The 20,881-nt window shown below is 36.1% G+C and overlaps 1 protein-coding gene, 1 non-coding gene and 2 pseudogenes across 22 annotated transcripts in view; 2 read left to right on the plus strand and 2 right to left on the minus strand.

The window, feature by feature from the left end:
• RALGAPA1 (Ral GTPase activating protein catalytic subunit alpha 1) overlaps nt 1-20,881 on the minus strand; it is a 270,940-nt gene that overhangs the window by 208,896 nt on the left and 41,163 nt on the right. For all 21 annotated transcript variants that reach the window (XR_007063998.1, NM_194301.4, NM_001346246.2 and 18 more), the window contains exons 5-10: nt 15,459-15,502; nt 13,578-13,755; nt 9,542-9,657; nt 4,773-4,911; nt 3,231-3,439; nt 1,334-1,573 (exon numbers count right to left, since the gene is read on the minus strand). Coding sequence is in view for 20 of the 21 variants with exons in the window: in NM_194301.4 (NP_919277.2) it covers nt 1,334-1,573; nt 3,231-3,439; nt 4,773-4,911; nt 9,542-9,657; nt 13,578-13,755; nt 15,459-15,502 (926 nt within the window). In the remaining variant the exon portion in view is untranslated. The remainder of the gene's footprint in view (nt 1-1,333; nt 1,574-3,230; nt 3,440-4,772; nt 4,912-9,541; nt 9,658-13,577; nt 13,756-15,458; nt 15,503-20,881) is intronic.
• LOC124900348 (uncharacterized) lies at nt 9,076-9,212 on the plus strand (annotated as a pseudogene).
• On the minus strand, nt 15,549-15,680 carry SNORA101B (small nucleolar RNA, H/ACA box 101B). The gene has a single exon (NR_135620.2). It is a non-coding gene; the product is annotated as a small nucleolar RNA, H/ACA box 101B (small nucleolar RNA).
• On the plus strand, nt 18,560-19,904 carry QRSL1P3 (QRSL1 pseudogene 3; annotated as a pseudogene).

A 20,881-nucleotide genomic window follows, 5' to 3' on the forward strand; every position in this document is an offset into this window, starting at 1 on the left:
GGATGTGATAAGCTTTGTCAACAAATTTGAAAACAAACACAAGAAGAAATGCCTAGAAAAATAAACTTATTTAAACTGACTCAACAACTGGAAAGCCTGAATAGTTCTACAAGCTTTAAAATTCCCCATGAGTATTCCAACATAATTTGTCAAATGTCTTTCCTTTCCCAATTGTTACATATTCTGTAAACACAAACCTTAAATCTGGCTGGAACCACTGCCAACACTGGACAAAAATGAAAATGAGTTTGTTTCTTTAACTTAGGCTGACAAGGCTAATGCTGTCTCATGCTTTGTTTTACACATCAATAAGTATGTGTGGAGATCAAGATTATTTGCTTTGCCTAGAGAGCTCCCTGGAATGTGAATGCAGTGTGGCACTGAATAAAGAGCACTGACATGGGAACCAGGATGTGGGCATTTTATTTGAAGATCTACCACTTACTTGCTGAGACACCTGAATGATCCCCCTCAGCTGCAAAACTCAATGTTGTTTACCTGTAAAAGTTAAGTGCCTTTGCCATCAAGAGCAAATAGTAGTTTTCATAAGGTTTCTCTTCCACAAAATTTCTACATATTTGAGAACATGCACTTAGGGATTTCCAGCTGTTTCATGTGAAATAGCTTTTTGTTCTTTTATTTTCCCTTTTTTTTTTCTATACTTTCCTTAAGAAATATCTGTCTTAATCAACTTTGACTTCAGAATGCCTTAGAGGACAAAACTAAGCCTTGAGGGTAAAAGCAATAAAAACCTCCCTTCTTATATCATAAACCATTTACTGATGATAGAGTGGAAGATAAAATAATTTTACCATAGTTTATTAATCAAATGATAGAAGAGTTTCAATCTATAATGAGTAATTTAAAAAATTATTCTAGTAACAGGAGTATAAGGGGAAAATAATTATTACGCTAAAAGTATCACAAACTAAAATATATAAAGAATAGAAAATACTAGAGGATTAGATGTAAATTATATAAACTAAGTATAAACTTAGTTTAATAATTACTTAGTTTAAAATTCTTAAACTAAGAATTACTACTAAGAATTACTTAAATTAGTTTAAAAATCTACATGAAGAATATATTTTAAATAGCTAATAATCAGTAATTTCTCTCTCTCGCTCTTTTTTTTTTTTTTTTTAAGAGATGCGGTCTCTCCATGTTGTCCAAAGTGGCCTCAAACTCCTGGGCTCAAGCGATTCTCCCACCTCAGCCTCCTGAACAACTACAACTAAAGGTACACACCACTGTTCCCAGCTAAAAATCAGTATGTTTAATATTAAAGATAAAAGCCTTCCTTATAAATTAAAAATACTGAGAGGTATGTTACCTGACGAAATATCTCTGTCACAAAGTTTACATTACTCCTTTTAGAAGAAAAAACTCTGCGAACTATTTCAATGTCTGTGAGATGTTCTTCATCAATACTACAGAGACTAGATGAGCTAGGTTCTCGCTCCGTGAGAGTGCTTGTATTGGAATGAGACTGTTCGGGTTCTGTAGTTCTGTCTGTTTTATCAGCATTATCATTTTTGCTTTCTTCTCTGGATACTAAACTAGCAGCTGCTCTCTAAAATACAAAAAAAAAAAAAAAAGAGAGAAACAATATCATAATCATTTAACTATGTATTTTGTCTTTTAATAGGTAATACTGACAAAATCCAAAACATTTCCCAAGTAATTTATACCACTGCTTAAACTCCGGGCATAGAGTTTCATTTAAAAGCCATTCTAAATAATTAAGTGGCAATGCAAGTAACTCAACATCTAAGTGACAGATACTCCAAAATGTGTGGTAATTAATCATCTACCCACCTATAGTTATATATTCTTCTCAGTAAGTTTGCAGTTCAAACAAGTTATTAATCAAAGCTGGGTGGATGAATAATGGAATTAGAGACAGCTCAGACCTTCAAGAATAAGTAAATAACTTAACATCAGAATGTTTACCTAATAAAAACTTAATGTTTAAAATTATCTCTATTTTACTGTGGACAAAAATTTAGACAAGTAAAAGTTTCCTAAACAAAACAAAAAACAAAGGAACAAAATTTATGACAGAAGTAGGAACAAAACTAACAGAAAATATTAGAAAACTTGAGAGAAAATTCTATAATTCTAATAATGGAATTTTCACCAAGTCTGAAGATCAAGCCTAACCAGATAGGGAAAAATTAAGTCTTAAGGTGGTGATAAGCAAATTACTATATGGTAAAAGTAGCACTATTCTGTGGTATAAATTACTTTCTGTTAAGTTATTCAATTTTTGGCCTCAGTTTTGTCATCCATAAAATAACAGAGCTTAAATAAATGACCTCAAATATACCTTTCCAACCAAAAACATTTATGATTTTCATCCATTACATTCTAGGATCAGAAAGCAGATAGTTCTGCTTGAGAATTTTCGCACTTAATAGTTCTTAATACAGAAGTTAGAGCAAAGTTTTGGAGGAAGACACACAATACAGTTTGCTAAAGATAAATAAACTAAGAGGAATAAAAGTCAAATTTTCTGAATTCTGATGAACTAAACACACGTTATACCTTTATCCTACTTATAAAAGATTTAAGGTGTTATAGAAAAAACACACATAGTTTAAGATTTTAAAAACTAAGAAAATCTGAGGAGAGGAAAATAAAAGTAGTAAAAATACTGTAATATAGACATGTTTAGAAAAATGTACGAGGGAAAATAGAAGATAAAAAAGAAGTATGAGGGAAAAAAGTAAACTGTTAAATCCAAAACAACAGTTTGAAATATTAGTTCCTCTACTGTATTGCTTTGTAATTTTATATCACATTTCTAGACTTGGCGTCTTTGTTGAAAAAGGGGGGAAGGGGGTGTGAACAGGTCTTTTAATCTGCATTTTGTGAATGCCCCCAAATTAAAAAGGGCCATCAAGGTTCTACCATTTGATCACAGTTCTTTTCACTTGTAAGATTTATCTGTACAATAAAGAATATTTTTAGTATTGTATAATTAAAATACAGAAATAAGAAGCTGAGACTGACATACTAATGAAATTATCTTCTATACTTCCCGTTTCATTTCTTTATTAAGAAACTTATTAATTCTATAATTAAAATTTGCATTTACAAAATATATTTATACAAATAAAATAGCACTATTATTTAAGTGTACGCTCCACCTAAGGCAACTGAACTCAATGGACTAAATCTCAAAAGCCATTTCTAACTTTAACAGGCCTGCCTCATTTGTGCATTACCTGAATATTCTTTGGCAAGACTTCACCTTCCATCCCAGGAATATGAGGTCCTGTATGTGGTTTTGGCTCCAGCCAGAAAGAAACCAGCCAACGAATGACAATAACACGAGCCTTAATGAAAGGCTCCTTTGTACAATAGATTGCTTCATTGGTTTCAGCATCTTTCTTTATCACGACATAATGTGGCTTTGGTCTCATCTGCGGGATGTCTGTGCAAAATAAAAGGAAGATGAAAACCAAAATAAGAAAGAAATTATGTTTAGAAAAAACCTACATTTTTAAATACTTGAGAAAATATTGTTATGCTACTCTGGTTTCAGAAGTAGCTTTAGCACAGAAATGACATTTCAAAATTTGCCAGATGTTTGCATGGAACTCAGAAGAGTGAACCATATATACCAGGATGATATGTGGAAACATGTATTTTTACAAAATATCAAAAAGTTCAGTGAACCTACCTAAGTACAAAGAAGCTTCCAGAACCATTTAAAATAAATAAGAGCTCACACTTCAATTAACCTACCACTGAAACACATAGTTTGAAGTCATACAAAATATGAGGTTTTACCTGAGCCTGTTAGTTGCCTAAACTTGGTATTAGGAACATCTTTCTGGGAAAGAGACAATTTACCTACGGACTACCAATACCTTCTATATATGGCAGAGATATGCTTCTAACCCAGGATTTGTACACAAGGCTCTAGGCTCAAGGTTCCAAGAGATATGTTGGCACAATAATTATTAAAAGTAATTGCAAAAACTGCCATTACTTTTGCACCAATCTATATAAATACTGGATGAAACATGGCTATGTAATTATTCACACAGAATTTGAATAAGACTAACACTTGATTGAACCCCCATATGGGGGGACCTTAAAAAGAAAATTTATAATATAGTCTAAGGATCATGCCAAACAAGAATTCAGTTTAATTTACAATCGCAAATATTTCTGGTGGGCTAACTTTTATAATTGATAAGATCCAGAGAACAAGTGTTTTTAAAAATCTGTTCATTGTTGGCTGGGTGTGGTGGCTCATGCTTATAATCCCAGCACTTTGGGAGGCTAAGGCAGGAGGATCACTTGAAGCCAGGAGTTCAAGACCAGCCTGGGCAACATAGGGAGATCCCATCTCTAAAAAAAAAATAATTAGCCAGATGTGGTGGTGCATGACTGTTGTCCTAGCTACTGGGGAGGCTGAGATGGGAGGACTGCCTGAGCTCAGCAGTTCAAGGCTGCAGTGAGCTATAATTATGCCATTGCACTCCAGCCTCCTGGGTGACAGAGTGAGTCCCTGTCTCTTAAAAAAAACAACAACAACAACAACAACAAAAAAAAACAAAAAAAGAAAAACTCATCCTCATTGAAAATTTCCTATTAATATAAATTTGCTTTCAGTATGAATCTAGGTATCATATCTATACCAACCAATACAAGTATTAAATATGATCAGTTTCCTGCAGTAACAAATGCCAACTTTACAGTAAGAGATTATTTTACTCTTAAGTGTGATCTTTCAGAAAATTTCAAACATTACCTACCAAGTATAGGATGATATAAACTGTTTTCCTTACAGATGTTTGGAAAAATATAAGGCAAGTAATATTTCTTAAAATGTGAAAACAAAAATGAAAATCCCCTTTCTTGGTTTTCTTTGTTCTTCCATTCTAAACTTTTTACCTAAAAATAAATTATATAATTAGAATCATTCCAGAAGAAAGAATCTCTTAAATGCAAGTATTAGCAATTATAAACAAGCTTGTAAAAGGTTGCAATACACTGAACTGTTAACACTAAAGATCATGATACATAGCATAAGGACAAATCTTTTAAATTGGTCTAATGTCAAACAAGTACATTATGTATATGTTTAAAAAACCTTAGAAGTATGCTTCAAAAGACTATGAAAATTACACAAAAGTGGCCCTACTAATGACAAAAATATTAAAGTTCTTTCCCTTTTGCCCCTTCCTGAATAATTCAGCCTAAAAAACCATACAAAATACATAAGCATATGTGGCAGGGGTGTGTGTATGTAAGCAGTAGCAGCAGTCAAGTGCAGACGATCAGAGCCTGACACAGGACGCAGGGCATCCATAAAGGGGGTACAGTAACCCAGTGGTGACTCACAGTCTGAGAGGAGTGAGGAGGGTGTCCATGAAGTGGAAGAAGTGAGGACAGAAAGAGATACAGCAGTATAATATAGGGTATGAGAACTCTAAGAAGGTGACGAAGACATCCAAGCAGGTGGTTGGCAAAGGCCCAGAGTGGGGTACTGGAACCCAATCAAGTTAAGGAGAATGTCTGCAGAGGAGGGCAATGGTGGCAACGGGAGATTGATTATACACAAGGGGGACTGATTAAATAAGTATATATACTAAGAATAATATGAGCCACATTTCTCATTGACAGGTAAGAGTTATAAATATGGAAAGGAAGAAACCAGAATGAACCCTGTGGTACTAGACTAAAATCTGGAAAATGGGTATGAATTAACATTAAGATAGATAGATAAACAGACAGACAGGCAGAAACATGGATTTGTGTGTGTCTGTGTCTGTGAATACAATTCTTCATTAAAATGAATGACAGCTCCTTAGAGAAGCAGCAGATTCCAGAGTGGACAAGGAAGGTACGAGATGAGCTTGGAACATCTTGTGGTGCCAGGAAGTAAGGAAGTGCTTAGACAATGACGGAAACAATTCAAAGGCATAGGATTCAGCTTGAAGGAACTTCCACTAGACAAATTTAGGACAACCTGAGCATCAAAATTGGTAACTGTAGTAAACATTAACACATGAATTCACAGGAATGCATAAATCCGTCTTGAGATAAATAAGTAAGTAAACAAATGGGGAGGGGAGAAAGCTTTTTCCTACAGTATGTAGCCAACTCTTGAATGTAGAAGTAATGATGGAATTAATATCACCAGTTGGCCAAAAAGTAGAAACAACTCAAATACTCATCGGCTGATGAAGAGATAAACAAAATACTGTATATGTATACAATATAATATTATTCACCGCAATAAAAATGAAGTATCGATACGTGCTACAACATGGATACACCTTGAAAACATTTGCTAAGTAAAAGAAGCTAGTCAATAAAGACTACATATTGTATGATCCTATTAACATGAAATGTCCAGAATAGGCAAATATATAGAGACAGAAAATCAATTCATGTTTGCCATAGGGGTGGGGATGAAAGGGTTGAGGGTAAGAGGACTGACTCCTAATGGGTATGAGGTTTCTTATTAGCACTAAAATTATACTGTGATGGCTGTGTAACCCTGTGAATACACTTAAAACACACTGAACTGTACGTTTTAAGTGAGTGAACTATATAAAATGTGCATCATATCTCAATAAAGCTGTTTTTTAAAAATTACCATTTGGTAACCCGCGTAATTACAAAGTCAAAAGCCTTCAATGGATCCTAAAACATGTGAAATTTCTGTAAGAAAGGGGATATTTAGGTAGTTACACAGTACTTCCCCACAAAATACTTGTTGATTTTCCAGTGTAATACTTACTGATATTACACTGGAAAAGCCTGGCAGACGCTACCTTAATCAAAGGATTAAAGTCAACATTGCTCATACATCAGAATTAGCTTAAAATGGACCACAGACCTTAATGTAAAACATAAAACTATAAAACTTCAAGAACAAAACGTAGGAGAATATCTTTGTGACATTTGATTAGGCAAAGATTAGAAACAATTCCAAAAGTCAGATCCATTAAAAAAGTGGTATAGTGGACTTCATCAAAATAAAAAGCTTCTAAAAAGACTGCTATGAAAACGGAAAGACGAGCTACTGGGAGAAAATATTTGCAAAACATACATCTGACTAAGGACTTCTTTCTAAAACATATAAAAAGCTTAAACTTAATAAGACAAGCCAATTTAAAAATGGGCAAAAAAAGTGAACAGACACTTCACCCAAGATATATGGATGAAAAATAAGCACATAAAAAGATATTCAACATACCATTAGCTGTTAGGGAAATACAAATTAAAATCATAATGAGATACCACTACACATTCACTAGAATGGCTAAAATTACAAATTGACCGTACCAACTGTTGGTGAGGATGTGAAGCAATTGTATAAGTCTTACATATTGCTGGTGGAATGTAAAAAGGTACAGTCATTTGGAAAACAGCTTGGTAGTTTCTTAAATAGTCAATATATACCCCTACTATTTGACCCAGCCATTCTACTGTTATTATGTCCACACAAAAACTTGTTTACCAATATTCACAGCAGTTTTACTTTAAATAGCCAAAAATTAGAGACCATTCAAATAACCATAAACAAATAACTGAATAAACTGGTGCATCCCCTACAATGGAATGCTATAAAAGGAGCAAACTGCTGACACATACAAGAAGATAGACAATTCTCAAAATAATCAAACAGAAAACAAAGCAAGACCAAAAAAACTATGTACCCTATGATTATATTTACATAAAACTATGGAAAACAAACTATTCTATAATGACAAAAAACAGATCAATGGATGTCTAAAGATAAAATGGTGGTGTGAGAATTCAAGGGGATGAATTACAAAGGGATCCAAGGGGCATGGTGGCTCACGCCTATAATCACAGCATTTTGGGAGGCCAAGGTGGGAGGATCACTTGAGCTCAGGAGTTTGAGACCAGCCTGGGCAACACAGTGAGACCTTATCTCTCTCTAACAAAAAAAAAAAAAGTTTTAGTTCGCCAGGCTCAGTGGTCTGTAGTCCCAGCTACTTGGGAGGTTGAGGTGTCAGGATCACTTGGGCCCAGGAGGTTGAGGCTGCCGTAAGCCATAACTGGGCCACTGTACTCCAGCCTGGGTTACAGAGCAAGACCTTGTCTCAAACAAACAAAAAAACAAAGCAAACAAAGATCCAAGAAAATGCCTAGAGGTGATAAATATATACATTATCTTAATTGTAAAGGTTTCATGGATGTATACACATAATAAAATTCATTAAACTGTAAATTTCAAATATTGCAGTTTATTGTGTATCAATTATAGCTCAATAAATCAGTAAAGCAATCTTTAAAATCTATATGAAGTACAAAAGTATTTTTAAAGAAAAATTAGTAATAACAATGATGATCATAACACCTGCCCACTACAGAACACTTATGGCATGCTATGCATTATTTTATTCTAAGCACTGTGCACTATTTAGGCCTCATACACCAAAATGGTATTATTTTTATCTCTATTTCACAAATAAGGACACAGAAACACTAAGTGGTTATTAAGTAATTTGCCAATAGCCACACTATTAGTAAAATGTGGAATCAGGGTTCAAACTCTGGCAATCTAGTTTAGGGTCCAAATTAACTTTATAATGTTTGTTTCTGAGGTATGAGGAATTTTTGTGTTTGGAGCCATTATAAGAAATGTGTGAATAAAAGCGTTTTCATCAGTCAATCAGGGTATGCACATTTTATATCTAAAGGTGAATAGGTTACCTTGCAAAATACATGCACCTAGAAATTCAAAAGGTACAAACAGGTTTAAGTGTAAATTACATTTCTCCTAATCATTATCCTGCAGCCTACCTCCCTAGTTGTTACATATTGGCAGATTGATTCCTAAATCAAACAATTTTCAGCTTTTCATTTGAAGTATCACAACTGCTGATCACAAATGAAAGGATTAGAAAATAAGCACAACTGTCTCACATAAGAAGGTATACGCAAAGAGTCTACAAAATTGTCCCTCTCTAGATTCCTAAGAGTGTCATCATCCCTCCAGTGATTTGAGAAAGAGATATTAACATATTTTCAATAGCAAAAATTTGTCACTTCTTCTTCGAGAAAATAAGCAACTATATGCATCTACTATGTGACAGACCTGGAGCAGTTCCTGTCTGCTGCTAAGGTTTCCACTACAGATGCAAGAAAAACATGTCCTTGTACTTTCTGTCTTTTTTATTGTGGCAGCCAAGGATGAATAGAGGGATACAGGGAAAAAACACGAAGAGGGAATTTTTTTAACTAAGGGATACCCTTCTAAAGAGTGAAGAGTCTATTTTTACTCCAAAGAAGAATCTAAAACTTGAGTTTACATGAGAAGTGTAGGAAATATCCCCTACCACCATCACTTGGTTGATTACACTTGTAAAAGCTTAAAAGCTAAAGCTAATTAAAAGCAAGCCATTGACCCTTCCCCTCCAACCTCCCTGACAAAAAGAAAATAAGCAAATATCTACTATGACAGAATAATGGTAAGAGACAGAAAAGGGAATCACCCACATAGGATAGTAAGGAGTGTGATATCAAAGAAGATAACAAGTACCTGAATGACTATGTATTTTAGAAGTGCTTCAAGAAAATAGCTTGTGAGATCTTCTTGCCCTTTATCTCCTGATTGTGGGGGGACAAGAGGAGTGATTTCTTCTATAGTGACTTGAGCTATCCAAAGACAAAAGAATAGTATATAGTTACAAAACAAATTTAATAAAACAATAATATAACCAAATAAACTTTAACTGCAAAATGAGTATGCAATGAAAATTGCTTGAAAACTTTCTAATGACTGATCCTTGAAATAAATCTTAAGATCATCCCTGATAGTTGATCACAAAAATAAATTTTATTTATTTATTTATTATTATTATTATTATTTTTTTTTTTTTTTTGAGACGGAGTCTCACTCTGTTACCCTGGCTGGAGTGCAATGAATGGCACGATCTCGGCTCACTGCAACCTCCGCCTCCCAGGTTCAAGCAATTCTCCTGCCTCAGCTTCCCAAGTAGCTGGGATTACAGGCTCCTGCCACCATGCCCAGCTAATTTTTGTATTTTTAGTAGACGGGGTTTCACCATGTTGGCCAGGCTGGTCTCAAATTCCTGATCTCAGGTGATCTGCCCGCCTCGGCCTCCCAAAGTGCTAGGATTACAGGTGTGAGCCACCGTGCCTGGCCACAAATTTTAACAATCAGCTGTTCTGTGAACCCTTGATTGAGAGAATGTGACAAAGGGATGGACAGACAAATAACACAGTGATTACAAGTATGTAACATCTCAGTTGAGAAAGAACTTCTGGTAATTTCAAATTCACATGAAAACTGCCCATTACAAAAATTCCATAAGATGACAAACATTAGTAATAATGCACTTATTTATCAAAGTACCAATCTGTTAACACTTACAAAATAAGAAAGTTCTATATTGTTTACTTTTCAGATGTTCAGAAAAATTCATTATAACAAATGCAAATGCAAGAAAGTCAACCCACAACTAGCTGAATTCTCTTAAATATTTCCTAAGCTGAACAATTAGTACCTGGTAAACATATGTAGGTCCCTAAACCTGACTCCCAATAAATATCAACCAACAAGCTCACAACAGAGGTAGATTTCAGTTTTTAAATAATACATGGTATGTTATTCTGCCACTCATTTTAAAAATTATTCTTTAAATTATTCTAAAAAGTATTTTAAAAATTATTCTTTAAAAATACAAACTTTAGGCTGGGCGCAGTGGCTCACGCCTATAATCCCAACACTTTGGGAGGCCGAGGCGAGTGGATCATCTGAGGTCAGGAGTTTGAGATCAGCCTTGGCCAACATGGTAAAACCCCATCTCTACTAAAAATACAAAAAATTTAGCCTGGCGTGGTGGCACACGCCTGTAATCTCAGCTACTTTGGAGCACGAGAATCGCTTGAACTGGGTGGTGGAGGTTGCAGTGAGCCGAGATCGCACCACTGCACTCCAGCCTGGGCGACAGAGCAAGACTCTGTCTCAAAAAAAAAAAAAAAAAAAAAAACAAACCGAAAAGAAAAGAAGTAAGAAAATACAAACTTTATCATCTGTACTCTGGACTTCCTGGACCACTGTCATCATACAGAAGAACACACTTTATGAAAGCTTTATTTTGTGAAGCTATAAAAACCCCCTTAAAATCCACTGTTCCCATAAAGACGTCTTAGTCTCTGCCGGGGAGTATACAGAGACTCCATATTTTCCACATCTTACAGACTAAAAAGCAAAACTTCTATTCTTAAAAAGAGAAGGGGCAGAAGTCAGTCACAAATATATTTAAAATAAATAATAATTATTTTTAAAGTCATCCACAAAAACACTGATAAAAGAGTTGGTGTGGTGGTGTGCATCTGCAGTCCCAGCTACTTGGGAAGGCTGAGGCTGGAGGATTGTTTGAGCCCAAGAGTTCAAGGCTACAGTGCATTATGATCGCACCTGTGAATAGCCACTGCACTCTAATCTGGGCAACATAGCTTTGAGACCTTATCTCTTAAAAAAGAGTGATGAAAGAAAACCTCTCTATAATGAGAGGCAGAGAAAAAAAATGCTTATAGAACATCTGTTAAGTAGACCAGACATAGTGGCTGACACCTGTGATCCCAACATTTTGGGAGGTTAAGGTGGGAGGACTGCTTGACTTTAGGAGTTTAAGACCAGCCAGGCAACATAGCAAGACCCCATCTCTACAAAAAATTTTAAAATTAGCCAGGTGTGGTGAGTGGCATGTGCCTGTAGTCCCAGCTACTGACTTGAGCCCAAGAGTTTGAGGTCACAGTGAGCTGATCATGGGACTGCGCTACAGCATAGGCAACAAAGCAGGACCCTGTCTCACTCAAAAACAAAACGCAACAAAACAAAAAACTTCAAAATAACACATAATGTAAATAAGCATGCATATGTAGCCTATTTGAACTGGTTCATTAATACATTTTATGCCAGCTTGGTACTGTTTCTAAAATTTTGTTCTACAAACATAGTTTTGCTTTACCACAAAACCTAAATTTATAGAAATAAAAATTATAAATAAGAGGTAGTACCTAACAGAGTACTTGCTCTGGATTGAACTATGTACCCTGAAAATTCATATGTTGAAAACCTAACCCCCAGTGTGGTTGCACTTGGAGAGAGGGCCTTTAAGGAGGTAAAGTTACATGAGATCATGTGAATGGGCCCAATTGGCTGTTAATTAAGCCACCCAGTCTGGTTATTGCAGCCTTGGCTGACTAATGTAGCACTGTATATGACAATGTTTGCTCATGAAAGAATAAAGAAATAACTTTAACTTATTTAAATAACAGGATTCGTACACGAAGATGAGAATTAAAGAAGTAAAAAAAAAAAAAAAAGTGAATGTTAGAAAAATCTGGTCGGGTGTAGTGGCTCATGTCTGTAATCCCAGCACTTTGGGAGTCCGAGGCGGACCAATCACTTGAGGTCAGGAGTTCGAGACCAGCTTGGCCAACATGGCGAAACCCTGTCTCTACTAAAAATACAAAAAAATTAGCTGGGCATGGTGGCACACACCTGTAGTCCCAGCTACTCGGGAGGCTGAGGCAGAAGAATTGCTTGAACCCAGGAGGCAGAGGTTGCAGTGAGCCAAGGCCATGCCACTGCACTCCAGCCTGGGTGACAGAGTGAGATTCTATCTCAAAAAAAAAAAAAAAAAGAAAGGAATATTAGAAAAAGTTAAGGTAAACCACAAAGACTCACTAATGAATGAAAGCAAAAATTAAACATTACTGAAATTATACATTTTTAAATAGCAGTACTATTTATGAAAATTTATAAAAATTCAATTTACATATAACATTTTCACAGTCATCTAATGGACAAAATAAAACACACTTGTACTTCAATGTACATCCAAATTAACTCCAGGATACAAGGTGATATGTAATAATTAATGAAAAATGTTAAATGATCTGTATTAACCATAGGTTTTTGATGCTTATACCTCTGGGGCTTTACTGACTCTAGAGTGAATATGTCCTTCCCAGGGCTAGCCAGTTCCTAGAGACAGTAAGTGACTAGCCTGTGAGCATGCCTTTCATATTCAAACCAACCAGTCCAGAGCCCACACCGCTACCACCTCCTCCACACTCACATTCAGGGTGACTGCTCCTCTGTCCTAATTACAAAGGGGCTGGGTACCAGACAACTAGGGACAACTCTTAACAATCTACAGCCCACTGGAATTATTCAAACTAGCTAATCCTAAACTTGCTTAATCTGGGTTGCCTGTTTCTTCCCATAGAAACCATAATAAAGACTCTTGCCCATGTTTTCCCCTGTTCTCTCTGCCTCCTGACCAACTCTGGTGCTTCCCCCACATAGCCCTTGTGGCATGGCATGCCCCTTCCTCTTGGGAACTGTGAGTAACAAACTATTATTTCAACAGCTTTCTTGATCTGCTGACTTCACCATACCTGAATAATAATAAAAGCTATGTTTTAAAGCATTGCCTTGGATTACCCAGTTAATGAATGCACAGACATTTGAAAAAATACACTAAGAGACTACATAGAGAGCTTAAACCTACTGACGGATAACATCCCATGAATCTTACTTTCTTGAAGGTTGAGTGGAGGATTAATGAGATTATCTAAAGTTCGAGGTCCATGTTCAGACTGTGGTGCTGAAAATCCAGGGATTAAGCATGAAAACATCCAGAGCTGTTCTTTGCTACAGTTATTCTGAAGAGCTTGCAACCATAGTAAGAAAAGACGAACACCTTCCCGCCTAATCTAAAATAAAATGAAAATAGACAGTATTTTTATTTATAATGGAAATATTTTCTTCCTTTGAAAAACAAAGTTCTCTAGATGATGACAACAGAATGATACTTTCGAGAGGCAGGGTAGGGAAGGAAGGGGAAGTTGAGGAGAAGAGAGACAGCATCTATTGAAATCATTATTTAGAAATACAAATGCATGGATTTTTAACAAGTATAGAATGAACTTGTTCTCTATTTAAAGCCATCAGGTAATTTTTATTCTGTAAGTTCCATTTATAAAAATTAGAAAATCTTTTCCTTCTTGTCTACTTCCCTCCTTGCCTACCTCCCATCACCACTAGTCTAAACCAAGAAGCGAGAGAGAGCAATGACTGTTAGTGGTGAGAATGAGTTTGGTAAAAGGAGGAATGGTTATGGGGATCCTGGCACACTGCGAATTCAATGTTCTTGCCCCTGAAAAGTTCTGAAATTATTAAAATTATTAAGTTACAATTAAATTATTAAAAATAAAATGATTTAATTTAAATAAAAATTATTTAAAACCTCTCTGCAATTATCTCATGTACTTATTATTTGATTCTAAGCTCCAAGATACCAACTTTGTTCTACTCTATTAAAGCATCTAAAACAATACCCTGTACACAGAAGACAATAAATATTTTAACTGATTAATGAACATTCTCTCAGCATAAAAACAGTAAAAGAGAAATAGAGGAAAATTCAATCTCTGACAAGCAAAACACTTAGTCTTCCACTAACCTAACCTCACTGATAGCTTTGTAAATTACCTTACCAGAGCTTGTTCATGGCCACTGTCAAAGGTATTCAACTGCTGTTACTTTCATGGTTCAGCCAGATAACAGGAGAAAAGCTACAGGAAGGCTTATTCCTTTGTACTTTTATACCCAAGCCATGATGCCAAAAGCACCTGTAATAATGTTACTTTACCTAACCTACAGCAAGATATTTTCGGAATGGGCAGCTTCTCTTACTACAGTACAATGGCATAATGAAAAAGAAACAAAAATGTTTATATATATATGTGTATCTCCCCTACTTCCCTCTACATCTAATAGTGGCTATGGTGGAATGAAGAATAATCTGTTGAATGACTAAACAATGTTTTCCTTCTGGGGACCATAAAGAGGAAAGATTGCTGGTGAATGAGTCCATTGAGTGGCAAAGTACAACAGTTTTTTCAATGTCCCCAGTCAACCTAGAATGGTTTGTCAAACAAACTCTTGCTACGTTTTTTTTTTGTTTTTGTTTTTGTTTTTAAGATACAGTCTCACTCTGTCGCCCAGGCTGGAGTGCATCGGCTTGATCTCAGCTCACTGCAACCTCTGCCTCCAGGGTTCAAGCAATTCTCCTGCTTCAGCTGCCCAAGTAGCTGTGAGTACAGGCACGTGCCACCACGCCCGGCTAATTTTTGTATTTTTAGTAGAGACAGGGTTTCACTATGTTGGCCAGGCTGGTCTCAAACTCCTGGCTTCAAGTGGTCCACCCACCTCAGCCTCCCAAAGTGCAGAGATTACAGGCGTGAGCCACTGCACCCAGCCTCTTGCTACATTTTAAGGGAACTCACTTCAATTAAATAAACTGAAGACAATTCAGAGATCTTTAGGAAAAAGCTTAGGTAGGAAAAGTGTTAACAGGTGGGATGTATGTTCTACTCAGTATTTTTAAAGTCATGGAAAGTAAACATAGTTGTACCTTTAAGGAGTTTCCTGTGTGAAGTAGCTTCTTTAAAATCAATCCTGAAAAGAAAATATGATTTTAAATATTCACATCTTATCTATTTGTAAATGTCAGAGTTCTCGGTCGGACTTGAAAACACTTTTAAATAAGTCCTTGGCAACCTCCAAATTATTCTTGGTGACCTTTATATCCTTCTGCCATACTTGGGATCAGAAGGGCATATAAAAAGAATCACCTTTTCAACACATGCTTTATTGCAATTAAACATGATTTATTTTATTAACAAAACCTAGGCCCGAAATTGCATTTAACACAACAATCTATTATAAATCTCTTATTTAGACTAAGAATAAAATAAAATACTTTTATCACTATCCAAATGAAATCCACTATAGAAAATTTTCATTTAGTTAACCACATGAACATCCTTAACTGTAATATTTCCTAATGAATATTTCCATTATACTAATTTTCTAAGTTTTGAAAAGTCATTAATATTTCCTTTTTTCTTTTAAATTATGAAATATTTCAAACCTATAATAAAATACTGAAAATAACATGAACAAACCTGCAGAGGACCACCACTCAGTATGAATAAATCTACACGTAGTTCCATGTTTATTTCACTTACCTGCATTATCTCCAATGTTTTACTTAACTGTACAGGTATCACTGAGGCCCAAATCATATTGTTCCTTTCTTCCCCAGAGGAAACCATTATCTAGGCTTTGGTATTAATCATTTCAAAAAATATTTTTATATTATTACTACACATTTATAAATCCATAAAAAATAATATAAACTGTTTCATATAACTCATTTATTTTTTTAAAAAGTTATTTATATGTTACTTTTCACATCCAACATTAGCTTAAGAAATTTATCTATACTTATCTATGTAGCTCTAGTTAATACATTTTAAGAGGTGCATACTATTCCACCGTATGAACATACCAAAATTTATTTATCGTCTTTATATTAAGACATTTGGTTTTTTTCAAATTTTTGCTATTCCAAGAGTACCGTAATAAATAGTTATTGTTCATGATTCCCTGTACACACCTGAGTTTCCCCGGGGTGTGTATATATATATATATATAGAGAGAGAGAGAGAGAGGAATAAAATTACTTTCAGCTTTACCAAATATTAGATAATTTTCTCCAAAGTAGTTGTAACAATTAACAGTACTACCAGCCGTATATGGGAGGGCTCTAGTACCATATTGTTGGCAGCACAAAACATTGACAGATGCTCTAATATTTGATAATCTGATGTATGTTAACTATCTTAATGTTGCTTTCATTTGATATTTCCTAGTGACACTGAACATCTTTTAATTTGGCTATTCAAGGTTTCCTTGTTTTATCCTTTGCACAATTTTCAATTTAGTTGTTCTTTTTTTTTTTTTTTAAAGAGATGGGGTCTTGTTCTGTTGTTCAGGCTGGAAAATAGTGGTGCAATCATAGATCACTGCAGCCTCAAACTCCTGGGTTCAAGTGATCCTCCCACTTCAGCCTCCTGAGTAGCTGGGACTACAGATGTGCACCACCAGGTCTGGCTAATTTTTGTAATTTTTGTAGAGGGCTTCATTATGTTGCCAAGGCTGGTCTGGAACTCCTGGCCTCAAGGATCCTCCCACCTTGGCCTCCCAAAGTGCTGGGATTACACGTGTGGGCCACTACACCTGGCCTTCTTTATATACATATATATATATGGAGTTCCTTCTGTATTACTAATTCTGTGTCTATTTCTATGAATTGAAAATACATTATCCCAAACAATTCAATCATGTTTTTGTTGGGTGGGGAGGTGGTATCTTCTGATGCAGATAAGTTTTATTTATTTATTTATTTATTTATTATCATTTTGAGACAGGTTCTCACTCTGTCACCCAGGCTAGAGTGCAGTGGCATGATCATGGCTCATTGTAGCCTTGACCTCCTGAGCTCAAGTAATCCTCTCGCCTCAGCCCCCAGATAGCTGGGACTAAAGGCACATGCCACCATGCCTGGATAATTTTTGTATTTTTTGTAGAGATGGGGTTTTGTCATGTTGCCCAGGCTGGTCTCAAACTCTTGAGCTCAAGTGATCTGCCCACCTTGGCCTCCCATCCCAAAGTGCTGAGATTACAGGCATAAGACACCATGCCTGGCCTTAAATTTTAATATAATCAATTTGCCAGTGTTTTTCTTTCTTATGTGTTCTTTGTATGTCTAAAGAAATCCTTCCTTACATTAAAATTATAAACCAAATACTCACTTCAAAAAGTTGTTATGTGTTGCTTTTCACATGTAGGTCCTGAAACCTATCAGAAAATTATTTCCTTGTGGGTGGAACAGAATTTGTTTTTTCACAAATGGAAAACCAAGTGTAGTACTATTTCGGGATTTATGATGTTCAAATGAACTAAAATGCCATCTCAATCATATTTCAAGTTTCCATACATAAGCTTAGGTCTTTGGCTGATCTCCATGTTCCTTTTCATTCATCCATTTGTCCATCCCTACATCAGTAACAGTGCCTTTGTTAGTATAACTTTATAATTTATCTTGTTATCAGGCATGAAAATAGCCAACACCACCACCCTCTTGGTCCGATTTGTTATTCTTCCAAATTGCTTTGGCTTTTATTTTACATATAAACTTTAAGATATATTTGTTAGGCTACATTTAAAAATCCCTATAGGAATGTTAAGAATTGTTATATGTGTGTGTACATACATATATATGATATATATTTGATATACATGGTATATATATTTAATATTGATAAATATTGTGTGATATTGATATTTATATATATACTTAACAAATTTATTTGTTTGAGACAGGTTCTTGCTCTGTCACCCAGGCTGGAGTGCAGTGGCACAATCATGGCCTACTGCAGCCTTGGCCTCTTGGTCTCAAGTTATCCTCTCACCTCCCCAGTAGCTGGGAACACAGGTGCACACTACCACACCCAGCTAATTTTTGTATTTTTTTGTAGAGTTGGGGTACTGCCATGTTACCCAGGCTGGTCTCAAACTCCTGGGCTCAGGTGATCCACCCACCTTGGCCTCTCAAAGGGCTGGGATTACAGGCGTGAGCCACTACAGCCAGCCAAAAATTACTGTCTTACATGTGCATCAAATATGCTGAAAGGTAATGCTATAGTAGTTCCGAAATTGTTGGATTAGGGAGCTCTACTAATGGAAAAACAAATTTAGATGAGTTTGCTATGAGATCTGGAAATGCAGAAGGCGTATTTGGACCAGTTAAAAACCCCTGGAGTTATTCAAAACAATATAGAGAAAAGAGGAAGCAGAATCTCCACTTTGAGAATGAAGATTCAGACTGGCTGATAACTGGAGGAAGCTCAGGTGGGAGTGCAGTTGCCATATCGGCATTCACATGCTATGCGGCTTTAGGATCAGATACTGGAGGGCTGACCAGAAATCCTGCTGCCTACTGTGGGCTTGTTGGTTTCAAACCAAACTATGGCTTAGTTTCCCATCATGGTCTCATTTCCCTGGAGGATTTGATGGAAGTGCAAGGAATCTTAACCAGATGTGTGGATGATGCAGCAATTGTCTTGGGTGTACTGGCTGAACATGACCCTACGGATTCTACCACAGCACAGGATCCTGTTAAACCATTCATGATTCCCAGTTTGACAAATGTGAGCAAACTATGTATAGGTATTCCAGAGGAATATCTTGTACTGGAATTATCAAGTGAAGTACAGTCTCTTTGGTCCAAAGCTGCTGACCTCTTTGAGTCTGAGGGGGCCAAAGCAATTGAAGTATCCTTTTCTCACATTACTTATTCAATTGTCTGCTACCATCTATTGTGCACATCAGAAGCAGCATCGAGTATAGCAAGATCTGATGGGCTACAATATGGTCACAGATGTGACACTGATGTATCTACTGAAGCCATGTATGCTGCAACCAGACGAGAAGGGTTCAATGATTTTGTAAGAGGAAGAATTCTCTCAGGAAATGTTTTCTTGTTAAAATAAAAATATGAAAATTATTTCATCAAAGCACAGAAAGTGAGATGCCTCATTGCTAATGATTTTGTGAATGCTTTTAACTCTGGAGTATGCTAACTCCCACCACCTTGAGTAAGGCAGTACCATACCTGGAATTCATCAAAGAAGACCACAGAACAGGAAGTGCCCAGGATGATATTTTTACACAGGCTGTAAACATGGCAGGACTGTCAGCAGTGAGTAACCCTGTTGCACTCTCAAACCAAGCGTTGCCCACAGGGCTGCCGTTTACTGGACATGCATTTTGTGACTAGCAGCTTCTTACAGTAGCCAGATGGCTTGAAAAACAAGTAAAGTTTCCTGTTATTCAACTTCAAGAACTTATGGATGATTGTTCATCAATCCTTGAAAATGAAAAGTTAGTCTCTGTCTCTCTAACACAGTAGAGATAAATATATCATGCAAAATTTTTAAAAATTATTGCCTTTATACTATCAAGTTTATTTCCTATGAATATTGCATAAAATTCTGTTTATTCAAGTCCTTTCTTGTTCTTCAATGATCACATAATTGCCATACATTAATAATTTTTATTGAATATACAACATGCTAAAATTTATGGGATGGATATAAGGCAAAGCTTAGAGGGAAATTTATAGTTTTAAATACCTATATCAGAAAAGAAGAAAGCTATCAGATTAATATTCTATGGTTACATCTTAAAAAAACTAGAAACAGGGCCAGGCGCAGTGACTCACACCTGTAATCCTAGCACTTTGGGAGGCTGAGGTGGGTGGATCACGAGGTCAGGAGATCGAGACCATCCTGGCCAACATGGTGAAACCCTGTCTCTACTAAAAATACAAAAATTAGCCGGGCGTGGTGGCATGTGCCTGTATAGTCCCAGCTACTCAGGAGGCTGAGGCAGGAGAATTGCTTGAACCCAGGAGGCAGAGGTTGCAGTGAGCCAAGACAGCGTCACTGCACTCCAGTCTGGGCGACAGAGCAAGATTCCATCTCAAAAAAACAAACAAATAAACAAAAACCTAGAAACAGAAGAGTAAATTAAACCCAAAGGAAGCAGAATTTCTCTCTTTTTTAATTAAAATTTTTTTTTATTGTTGAGACAGGGTATCATTTTTTTACTCAGGCTAAAAGTGCAGTGGCATGATCTTGGCTTGCTGCAGTCTTGACCTCACCAAGTTCAGATGATCTTCCCAAATCAGCCTCCCAAGGAGCTGGGACGACATGAAGGAGTCATCACGTCTGGATAATTTTTGTATTTTTTTCCTAGATGGGGTTTCACCATGTTGCCCAGGCTGGTCTCGAACTCCCATGCTCAAGCGATCCACCTGCCTCAGGCTCTCAAAGTGCTGGGATTATAGGCATGAGCCACCACATCTGTCCTTATTTTCATGTTTTAGAGATTGTGTCTCATTCTGTCACCCCAATTGGAGTGTAGCAG

The sequence above is a fragment of the Homo sapiens genome, chromosome 14, assembly GCF_000001405.40.
Source record: "Homo sapiens chromosome 14, GRCh38.p14 Primary Assembly".
In the NCBI taxonomy this organism is placed as follows: domain Eukaryota; kingdom Metazoa; phylum Chordata; class Mammalia; order Primates; family Hominidae; genus Homo; species Homo sapiens.